This window comes from Homo sapiens, chromosome 18 (genome assembly GCF_000001405.40).
Source record: "Homo sapiens chromosome 18, GRCh38.p14 Primary Assembly".
Classification (NCBI taxonomy): Eukaryota; Metazoa; Chordata; class Mammalia; order Primates; family Hominidae; genus Homo; species Homo sapiens.
The window spans coordinates 66,270,076-66,282,495 of record NC_000018.10 but is presented as its reverse complement, the minus strand read 5'-3'; the positions used below and the strand labels follow the sequence as shown (position 1 = coordinate 66,282,495).

The 12,420-nt window shown below is 37.3% G+C and overlaps 1 annotated feature.

Annotated features, from left to right (window-relative positions):
* Window positions 9,932–10,817: an enhancer, noted in NCBI's record as "OCT4-NANOG hESC enhancer chr18:63938916-63939801 (GRCh37/hg19 assembly coordinates)". NCBI's record gives its function as "activates a minimal SCP1, AML or CMV promoter by ChIP-STARR-seq in naive and primed H9 embryonic stem cells {active_cell/tissue: H9 hESC(naive and primed)}" and the evidence as "EXISTENCE:reporter gene assay evidence [ECO:0000049][PMID:30033119]".

Sequence of the window (12,420 nt, the reverse complement as noted above, 5' to 3'; positions counted from 1 at the left end):
ACCAATGATTCAATAAAAGGGTAATAAAACTTTAAATGGATATTTTTGTGTATGAAAATCAAAAAGGAATTAGTAAACAAATAAAATAAACATTACTGACATTTAAAATTTTGTCAACAGGTGGCAGGTTTCATTTTTTCTTCTTTGGTGTGGTATATTCTTATGAATAAGTGAACATCCAAATAAATGAACATTACAGATATGCTGTGTCTATAATAATTTGTTTAAAACTACCATGTACATGCATTCAACAGATTTCCCTGCTATCTCCCCTTACATTAGAAAAACTAACAGTGTTAGTAAAACTTGCTCCTATTTCTTGCTTTTGACACTAATGGGAGTTTTCAGTAAAGACTTCAGGTCCAATTGATGCATGAGCCTAGTAGCTCTCCTTAATTGTGTTTGTAAATTCAATAGCTATTATAGAAAGAGACATTCCTGGCTGCACTTTACAAAAATTATTATACCTACTAGGTCATACTTTATTCATTCTTCACTTCTATGTGTTTTAAAACTGTCTGGTGTTAAGAGTAACTCAGAAATGTGTACTTGTCTCTCACCAACTTTGGGAGGTTTTGTTCTATTGTACGTTCCTCTGATAACTCAATGCATTTTGTCTAAATGTAACATAATGGTGTTGAGAGACTACTAAGAAGAATGGAACAGATTCTTTTTATATAAAAACATAGTATTAGAAATAAAATTATTTTGGAATTTTTTGAAATGTGTTCTTAATTGTAAGAAATAGAAAGGTGCTAGAGTTGCAAATTTATATACATAAAATTTTATATGAAACATTGACATTTTTTCCAACATTGGGGAACATTTTAAATTGTAGATCCTCCAAAAACATTCTCACTGTCTGTCTAAATGTGTATCACATAATCCAAATTGAAATATAGACTTAAGAAAAAAGCATTTGTAATCTCGCTGTGTTGGAGAAGCATTGGCCACATTGTGTAAACATTCACTTATTTTTGTGAATGTCTTGGTTGACGCTTCCTGGCAACTTCTACTAAGGCACTCATTGCCCCTTACCCTACTTGCCCTGTAGGAGGATCACCGATGTTGTTCTCTCAGCTTTTTATGATGAGCATGCGGAAATGTCTCACTATACTTTATAAGGCAAGACGCAATGGAAGAAGTGAGGAAGACTGGTCAACCTCAAGGCTTTTCTATTTCCCCAAATATATCATGCTTTGATTTCTACATCATGACACAAGGAAATCTGCTAAGCAGATTTTCTTTCAGAATTCAAAATTATAAGTAGCACTGATAATGGGATCATAAGATTAAAGCCCAGAGAAGCAGGAAAGAGAGAACAAAGAAGTGAGGTAGGGGGAGGGCTCGGTGGCTCACACCTATAATCCCAGCACTTTGGAAAGCCAAGGCAGGTGGAACACTTAAGGCCAGGAGTTTGAGACCAGCCTGGCCAACATGGCGAGACCCTATCTCTAATTAAAATACAAAAGTGAGCCAGGCAAGGTGGTGTGTGCCTGTAGTCCCAGCTACTCGGGGGGCTGAGGCAGGAGAATTGCTTGAGCCTGGGAGGTGGTGGTTGCAGTGAGCCGAGATCAAGTCACTGCACTCCAGCCTATGTGACAGTGTAAGACTCTGTCTAAAAAAAAAAAAAAAAAAAAAGTGAGATAGGGAAAAAGGGGATCTTATAAGAGAGTTTGTTACAGAACTAGCCACAGCATCAACACAAACGATCTGTTATTGCCAGCCTTCTACAGAGAGACTACAAGAAGGTACTCAGTGAGATGTGACAAGAGTGTAGCTGACTGCACATCAGATGAAGCATTGTTTATTTTTGCCAGTGGGTGACACAAGAGAGTAAGAACAGCAATAGCACCAGCGTTCTCATCAGTAGCAACAGATACAGGAAAAATAGCAACCCAGCTCTGTGCCAACACAAGTTGGATTTACCCTTCATAAGCCTTCTCTGGCCAGAAAACAAAGATGCAAAAATCTGGACTGATACATAAACTGAATATGGCTCAAATTACTATTTGTATACATCAAATCCACTTTTACATTCAGGATATTAAAGTTTTACTAGAAAATAAGATGCCCTGAAGTTTTCCCTGAGAAGGGAAGAAAGATCCAGTTCTTACATGTTGTTGCTAGTTGCAATCAAGGGCCAGCAAACTAGGCCCATGGCCTAGTCCAGCCCATGAGTCTGTTTTGTATGTTTCTAGATACCATTTATGTACTTAAAAATTGAAGAAAACAAGAGAAAAATCTGTGATATATATATGCTAGGTTTCCTATAAAACTGAAAATACTCTATATCTGTTTACAAAATAAGTTTGCCAACCCCTTTTCTAAAACACTGTAAAAGGGGTTAGCAAACTAAGCCATTGCCCCCCATTACTGCAACTAGAGCAGAGACTATGTTTAATTCTTATCCTGTCTTTTTTTTCTACACCCCCTTCAGCTGGTCTGAGTTGCTTGCCTTGTGGGGTGGCCTAGAGCTTTATTCCTGAGAGTCTGATAATAGGTTTTCTATATAAAAGAATCACTTTAAGGGAAGCAGAAGATTCTTTGTCCATTGTCTTCCGTGGTTACACATGAATTGGGAATTGGATAGGACTTAACATAAATCATGTCCAGTTTTCATTGCCTAATAGTGAAGATTTGGAAGCTTGGGGTCATTTTAGCGGGTGACTATTCACATTTGTTTGTTTTCAAGATTTGAAGTTTCTGGCTAATATTTTTTTTTCAATCATTTATTGAGATTTTGAAATATTTATATCTCGTCAGTTTTAAAATATAAAGCCAAGTTTCTTGACTAATTACAGTCTACAAATGTGATAATTTTCCTTTTATTTTACCCAACAGGTTCTGTGCTCTGTCTTTCCTCTAGCCCTCAGCTTAATAGGTTGTGACCAAGGCAATTCAAGGAATTGTCCCAGGTAAGGAGAAACTATTCTTAATATAGACTTTGCCAGCCTTCTTACATTCTCTGTTTGGAAGAGAATAATTAGCAAGTAGCATGGGAGAAAAGTAGAACTCAAATCCTATCAATATTTTTTTTTTGGTAAAGATAATTTTATAATATGGTCTCCCCTAGAACAAACCAAAATTTGGGATATAAAATGTGGCTTTTGATTGCTTTTCTCTACGACATTGAGTTCCATATGTTTGGATCTTTCCCTTTAGGAATATTATCAGCTGTTACTAATGGAAATCAAGGTAATAGTGATTTAAACAAACAAGGAAAAATTTATTTTTCCTACCTGATAATTGTGTAGGTTGGTCCTAGCTGGATTGTACCCCATCCTTCAGGTATGTCTCAATATACATGTTGACATTTTACCTTAACAGCATTGCCTTAGCCAGGTGCAGTGCCTCAAGCCTGTAATTCCAGCACTGGAGGCCCAGGCAGGAGGATCACTTGAGGTCAGGAGTTTGAGATCAGCCTGGGCAACATAGCAAGACCCCATCTCTAGAAAAAAAAAAACTTTATTTTAATTAGGGGGGTATGGTGTTGCAAGCCTGTAGTCCTAGCTCTTCAAGAGGCTGAAGTGGGAGCATTGCTTGAAATCAAGGGTTCAGGGCTGCAGTCAGCTATGATCACACCACCACACTCTAGCCTGGGTGACAGAATGAGACCTTGTCTCTAGAAAAAAAAAAAAAAAAAAAGAGTATTGCTTTATTGTGAAAATTGACACACATGATCACATTCCAAAACAGGAAATTGAGGTGTATGAGACAGAAATACTTATTTTTACCTAGATACAACTAAAATTGTTCCCAGAAGCCCCCAAAAGATTACCTCTTACATATCAATTGCTTAAGTCACATCACTTAAAAGTCACAATTATACTGTTCTTTCTACAGGGGAGGGGAACTGGTGGAATGAGTACCTGGCAAAAGGAAAGCAGTTGTCATGACTGGCCAAGACTAAAGGTAATTTACTGCCTAAGACAGGGTTAAAGGCTAGCCTAAATATCTGGAATATTGTTACTAAGAAACAAAGAGTGAGCCAGGTGCGGTGGCTCACACCTGTAATCCCAGAACTTTGGGAGGCTGAGGTGGGTGGATTACTAGGTCAGAAGTTCGAGACCAGCCTGGCCAACATTGGTGAAACCCTGGCTCTACTAAAAATACAAAAATTAGCTGGGTATGGTGGTGGGGGCCTGTAATCCCAGCTACTCAGGAGGCTAAGGCAGGGGAATCACTTGAACCCAGGAGGCAGAGGTTACAGTGAGCGAAGATCATGCCATTGCACTCCAGCCTGGGCAATAGAGTGAGACACCGTCTCAAAAAAAAAAAAAAAAAGAATTAACGAGTGAGGGTCTGTTATGTAGGGTCTGAATCAGCAAAAAATTCCATTCTGAGTTCACTGGGTTTATCTCTTGATATGTAAACATAATGTCTTCAAAGTAGATAAATCCCATTTATGTTTTGTCAAAGCCTTCCTGGTAAGACAAGAGTCATAGTGTAAAATCAGAAATAGATTGACAGTTAAAACTGAGAAACAAATTTATTATTGTAGCCATTATTGCTCTTTATCTGATGTACTAAGTCTCATTGATTTAGTGGCTGAACAGCCAAACAATATCATGAATTTAAAAAAATGAGTGTTTCTCATTTCAGTTTTTTTTCAAAATATTATACCAATTACTATGTCTTAATGACTTCCAAGTGACAGGCACTATAACTTTAAACTGAGAATTATATTTGAGGATAATTAATTTAAGAGCTTAGTTAATTCTTCATCATTAGCACATCCTTTGAATTGTTTCCTTAATATGAAGAAAATGAACTTATTGATCTTATATTGTCACCTGGATACCTTTATGATTATTACATAAAACTCTCTGAGTAACATTTCTGAACACAGAACTACATTACATGCAACAATTAAAATCTGACCTTGGCTTCACCACCATCAGACTTTGTGCAGAGTTTTTCTAGGCTAGACTCATGCCATATTTTAAGAGATATGTTTAGACATAGACTCAGTTTGTGTTTGATATTTTAAGGCAATTACATGTTAAAAAAATATATTTTACAAGTTTTTTAATAGAATAATTATACTTTTAATGAATTATATGAAGATACATAAACTTAATGACTGCTTTCAGAATGTTTTCCAAATGTCTTCAAGTAACACTTGAATAATGTTTAAAATTCTTTCATATGTTATATAATTTTTTCCTCCTGATATTTACATGTGTCTGAAACACGTAACTGAAGTGTATTATTTAGAAATATTTAATTTGTTGATGATGCTAATATATACTATGGTTAAATTCATATAGGGTGGCAGAAAGTGACATAAAATGGATACAGTATTAAAGTTTATCTTAGTGGATAAATGTTAGCATTTTAACAAATAATTTTATCTAAACTCTGCCTTGATTTTTATTAAGTAGCATTTAAATAGCTGCTATTTCCTCAAGTTGTACTCACATTAATAGTATTTGTGTAGTGGTTAATTTTGTGTCAAATGACTGGGTTAAGGGATGCCTGGATAGGTGATAAAGCACTATTTCTGGGTAGGCCTGTGGTGGTTTCTAAAAGAGAGTAGCTTTTGAATTAGTAACTGAATAAAGGAGAATCAGAATATCGGTCTTCACCTATGTGGGTGGCCATTATCATAGGCAAAAAAAGAGCGAGTTTGCTGTCTCTCTTCTTAAGCTGGGACTTTCATCTTCTCTTCCTCTCAGACACTGGAGCTCCTTTCAAGGGCCTTTGTACTTCAGGACAGCATGAGCACCTCTATCTCTCTCTTTGGCCTTGGACTGGAAGTTATATCATTGGCTCCCCTGTTTCTTAGACTTTCAGGTGCTTCAGCTTGCAGATGGCATTTTGTGGGATTTTTTTTTTTTTCGGCTTTCATAATGACATGAGCCATTCCCAGAATAAATGTCCTCATATATCTAAATCTATATCCAAATCTATATCCTATTTTTCGTTTCTCTGAAGAACCCTAATATAATTTGTCACATGGAGACTGTTTTAGTTTATTCCTGTTCTGTAACAAAATACCTGAGACTAGATAACTTATAAACAACCAAAATTTGCTTTTCGCAAATCTGGAGGCTGTATAGTCAAAGACTGAGTTCCAGGAGAGCTCTCTTCCTGGCTCTTGCAGACAGTCACCTTCTCACCATGAAAAGAAAGAAAAAGAGGAGAAGAGAAGAGAGAATCAATCTTCCCCTTCTACAAGGCATAGTCCTATGGACTTAGGACTCCATTCTCTCCTTGACCTCACTTAATTACCTCCTAAAAACACAATCTCCAGATATAGTCACATTAGGGGTTAGGGCTTCAATATACGAAGTGTTGGGGAGGGGGAAAAACATGAACAAAATAATTTGAACATATTCTAATCATTTTAAATGCAGTTGCATAAGCATATGATGTGAAATATATTTAATTATAGCCAATAAAAAAAAAACTTGTCGAGTGTTTTTCTCTGATACTGAAAAACAGATTCAATATCTATGGGCCTGAGTTTAATCTCTAGTAAATTAGGGAAATGGAAAGATCTTAACCTATTTTACAAACATTTGGACCACATTTTCTGAAATAATTTTGAAAACCTCTTTGCCCTCCTGTATATTGTCAGATTAATATCTAAAACATTTAAAAGTTTTAACAGTTGAAAACAAAATAGTTTCTTCCAGTTTTAAAACTGTATAGGCATAAACAATATTACTAAAATATTGATATAAATATTGGTTCTGCATATTTATTTTATTTCATTTGAGAAAATTGTCTACAAGTTTATCTAGTCAGCAAAGCCAGTCCCAATTGTAAAATATGATCAATCAATCAAACTTAAGACAGAAATTAAATTTTACATTCAAATAAATATATTAATAGGTGTTCTCATGACAATTATCTCATCTCTTAATTCTAACATAGTGAAAAGAAGGAAAGAAGGGAGGAGGGAAGGAAAAGACTATGTCATAAGTTTGTCACTTGGAGGGAAAAACAAGCCTGCTTTGTAATATTAATGACACAAACCTTTTTTCTTTTTTTCTTTTTATGCTGTATGTAACTTGTCATCAGGGTTTACATATTCACAATTGATTCAGCCCTTTTTTTGTGTTCATTCATAAGGTTTTATTCCTAGGGATGTAAGGACCATTGTAAAATATCCCATGAAGGACATTATGCCTTTCTTTTATGAGGTGAGAGACAGATATATTGAAAGAAAATTACATCAAAATTATGACATGTCATCTCATCTCATTCAAAATGGCTTTTATTCAAAAGATGAGCAATAACAAGCATTGGTGAGGATGTGGGGAAAGAGGAACGCTCACACACTGTTGGCAGGAATGTAAATTAATACAACCTTTATTAAGAACAGCATGGAGGTTCCTTTAGAGCTACTATATGCTTGAGCAACCCTACCACTGGATATATAGAAAGGAAATCAATATATTGAAGAGATACAATAGCAAAGCTATGTGTCAACATAAAGAGTTGAACTCAGTAAAATATTTGAAGAAATTTTCTGAACCAATGACCCCTGACACAGCCCTCTGGAGATCCTGAGAACATATCGGGGGAAATTCAGCCCCCAATATTTCACGTGGATCCTTTTCTATTTTCCCTAAGTGTTGGCTGGTCTGAGAAATAAAAGGAAAGAGTACAAAAGAGAGAAATTTTAAAGCTGGTTGTTCGGGGGAGACATCACATGTCTGCAGGTTCCATGATGCCCCCAAACCACAAAGCCAGAAAGTTTTTATTAGTGATTTTCAAAAGGGGAGGGAGTGTACAAATAGGGTGTGGGTCACAGAGATCACATGCTTCACAAGGTAATAAAATATCACAAGGCAAATGGAGGCAGGGCAAGATCACAGGACCAGGGCGAAATTAAAATTGCTAGTGAAGTTTTGGGCACACATTGTCACAGATAACAACTTATCAGGAGACAGGGTTTGAGAGCAGACAACCGGTCTGACTAAAATTTATTAGGTGGGAATTTCCTCTTCCTAATAAGCCTGGGAGCTCTACGGGAGACCGGGGCTTATTCCATCCCTAATCTACAACTGTAAAAGACAGACGTTCCCAAAGCGGCCATTTCAGAGGCCTCCCCTTGGGAACACATTCTCTTTCTCAGGGCTGTTCCTTGCTGAGAAAAAGAATTCAGCAATATTTCTCCTATTTGCTTTTGAAAGAAGAGACATATGGCTCTGTTCTGCCTGGACCACTGGCAGCCAGACTTTAAGGTTATCTCCCTTGTTCCCTGAACATCGCTGTTATCCTGTTCTTTTTTCAAGGTGCCCAGATTTCATGTTGTTTAAACAATTTGTACAGTTAACACATTCACCACAGGGTCCTGAGGTGACATTCATCCTCAGCTTAGGAGGATGACGGGATTAAGAGATTAAAGTAAAGACAGGCATAGGAAATCACAAGAGTATTGATTGGGGAAGTGATAAATGTCCATCAAATCTTCACAATTTATGTTCAGAGATTGCAGTAAATACAGACGTAAGAAATTATAAAAGTATTAATTTGGGGAACTAATAAACGTCCATGAAATCGTCACAATTTATGTTCTTCTGCCATGGCTTCAGCTGGTCCCTCCCTTCAGGGTCCCTGACTTCCCGCAACAGAACATGCACCCATGGTGGTCGGAATACAGCTTAGTTTTATACATTTTAGGGAGACATAAGACATCAATCAATACATGTCAGATGTCCATTAGTTCAGACTGGAAAGTCTGCACAACTAGAAGCAGCAGTTACCAGGTTATAGGCAGATTCAAATGTTCTGATTAGCACTTTGTTGAAAGAGTTATTATCTAAAGACTTGGTATCAGTAGAAAGAAATATCTTGGTTATGATAAGGGGTTGTGGAGACCAAGGTTTTATCATGGAGTTGTAGCCTCCAGGTAGCAAGCTTCAGAGAGATAGAGAATAGAATGATGGTTGCCAGAGGCTAAGAATGGTACTGGGGAGATGAGATAAAAAAGGTTTGTCTAATGGCTACAAAAATACAGTTAGATCTGTTAAAAGAAAACCTTCAGCTGAATTAAACTTAAAGGAGTTTAACTGAGAAATGAACGATTCACAAATTGGACACCCCCAGAATCACATCAGATTTGAGAGACTCCAGGGATGCCTCCTGGTCAGAATAAATTTACAGACAAAAAAAGGGAAGTGACATACAGAAATCAGAAGTGAGGTACAGAAAGAGTTGGATTGGTTACAGGTTGGCCTTTGCCTTATTTGAACACAGTTTGAACACTTTAGCAATCTATGAGTGATTGAAGTATGACTGCTGGGATTGGCCAAGACTCAGCTATTGTTACAGGCGCATACTCCTAAGTTAGGTTTTCAGTCTCGTCTGCCTATTAAATCAGCTTGCAGTTCATCCTCAAGGACTCGAATAAAGAAGTACGGAGTCCTTCTCAGGCCATACTGTGTTTGCTTTAACAGGTCAAATGAATAAGTCCTGGCATTCAGTAGCACAATAATAGGGTGACTATAGTTAACAATAATTTATTATGTATTGAAAACAAACTAAAACAGTAGAATTGGAATGTTTCTAACACAAGGAATTAATAAAGATTTCAAGTGATGGATATCCTAATTACCCCGATTTGATTGTTACACATTGTGTTCCTATATCAAAACATCACATGTACCCTATAAATATATACAACAATTATGTACCCATAAAAATTTAAAAATTGAAAAAAATTAAAAATACATTGAAAGGAGAGGCCATAGAAATAAAGAACTAGCAGAACACAGGTAACTTCCTGGGTAGACTAATTTTTGAAAAAGAATATCTGAAAGGTAATGATCTAATAATAGATTTCCTTACATTTATCTGAGCCCATTTACCTATTGGATGTCTTCCTGTACCGTACTTTGTATTCAAAACCCAATATAAAGATGCCTTTTCTAGCATTAAATTCAAACTATTGTCTTCATTCTTCCTTCTATGGTTTGTAATATCCATATTTACTAATAGTATCCTGAATGTACATATTAGGTTGGTGCAAAAGTAATTGTGGTTTTTGCAATTTAAAAGTAAATACTTACAAGCCAATCATAACTGTATGGTTCCCCCATGCCTAAATCTTACCTCTGGGACAATATGATGAGAGCCTATGATGCTACACATAATATCAGAAGCAAGAAATGCCAAAACCACGAATCTGGGAATTTGTGTAGAAAAGAGACTCTTGTCTCCCTCCCTTTCTGAGAGTCTCCTTAAAGAAGGGATGGATGGGTAGGATCCTGAGTTTTCACTCTAAGTCCTTCGGAATGTAAATAAATCTCTTCAGTAAAAAGAAAAGACCCATCCTCTTCAGCTTTATAGCCCCAGGGATTTCTCCTCTTTCCTGGATCTTAGTCCCTTGAAATGCAATCATCTCGCCCTGGGGGTCTCCGGTTTATTCAGCCTAGGTATGTGTCCTACAAAGTAACATTTGACTCTTGGGTAGATAGAGGAAAGTTGATTAACCTTTTGAATGGAAGCAATTAGTTTCACCAGTAGAAAAACAAAGGACTGTAGTTCTAATCCTCATGGTATCAGCAAAGTAAAAGGTTCATGAGGGTGAAGAAACCAAAGAGTCTCTATTTCCAAGACTCAGAAGGCTGAGTCTTTTTTACTAGAACATTAAGAAATCTAGGAAAGATTTATTTTCCCACACATATATTTGGGGCCTACTGTTACTAATTTGATGTGTAATATCTCATTTAATTTTTAAAGCCATTTTATCAAATTGGCACCTCTTAAATAATAGGGAAACAAAGTGGTTTTGGAAAGTAACCTGCCCAAAATCGAACCATTAAATAGTAGTATCATTCAGATAAACATTTCATCTGCTTTCTGAAACTATAACTGCTTACATGCTTATGTATTCCTGCATTATGAGATTAAACATTAATAGTGCATGATCAGTGGCCATTAGTGAAATATATGCGTGTGTGTATATATATATATATATAAAGATATTAAGTGAAATACACACACACACATATTAGCAAAGCTAACAAGTGATGGTATAATTATAAAAGACTGATTTTTATATCTTCCACAGAAGGAATATCATGAGAAACAAAGTAAATGTCAAGAAATTAGGTGAAGGCCTGGCATATATTTATGTACCTTAGTGTAGAAAGAAAGTGGAAGTGTAGAATATGACAGGTGCTGGAAATTAGAACTTGTGCAGCCATTTTGAAAGTATCTGACAATGCTTATTCAAATTAAACATTGACATGTGCAATGACCCAACTGAGGGAAACCTGTGAGGTTTCACTTGGGTTCATAAGAGGGCATGGATGAGGCTGTTCCCAGAAGTAGTGTTTGTAGCAGCTGGGAGTTTGTGGGTGCAATTTAAGCAAGCATTCCTGAGAGAAAGAATAAGTAAAAAGTGATAGATACTCTGCAATACTGCTGTCAAAAGCAGACTAGTTGTATACACGTACACTTAGTTACCTCTTTAAAACAAAGCTGTGAGTAGAAAAATAAGATAACACAGATAATAAGTGACTCTTCTCAAGTCCACCTGAAAGAAATTAGAACTTTTGCTCCAAATCATGAGATTCTTCAATAGTCCCTTTCCTTATTCAAATAAATAGCTGCTTTTATTTTTAAATTGAACCCTTTGTTTTACCTCTTATGCTAGTGAGAGACAGGACTAGCTGGATTTCCTAGGCCGACTAAGAATCCCTAAGCCTAGCTGGGAAGGTGACCGCTTCCACCTTTAAACACGGGGCTTGCAATTTATCTCACATCTGACCAATCAGATAGTAAAGAGAGCTCACTAAAATGCTAATTAGGCAAAAGCAGGAGGTAAAGAAATAGCCAATCATCTATTTCCTGAGAGCACAGTGGGAGGGACAAGGATCAGCATATAAACCCAGGCATTTGAGCCAGCAAGGGCAACCCCCTTTGGGTTGCCTCCCTTTGTATGGGAGCTCTGTTTTCACTCTATTAAATCTTGCAACTGCACTCTTCTGGTCTGTGTTTGTTATGGCTCAAGCTGGGCTTTCACTTGCCATCTGTCCACCACTGCTGCTGGCTGCCGTCGCAGACCCGCCACTGACTTCCATCCCTCCAGATCCAACAGGGTGTCCGCTGTGCTCCTGATCCAGTGAGGCGCCCATTGCTGCTCCCGATCGGGCTAAAGGCTTGCCATTGTTCCTGCACTGCTAAGTGCCTGGGTTTGTCCTAATCAAGCTGAACACTAGTCACTGGGTTCCATGGTTCTCTTCCGTGACCCACGCCTTCTAATAGAGCTGTAACACTCACCACATGGTCCAAAATTCCATTCCTTGGAATCCGTGAGGCCAAGAACCCCAGGTCAGAGAACACGAGGCTTGCCACCATCTTGGAAGTGGCCTGCTGCCATCTTGGAAGCAGCCACCACCATATTGGGAGCTCTGGGAGCAAGGACCCCTCCACCCCAGTAACACTAGCAAGGAC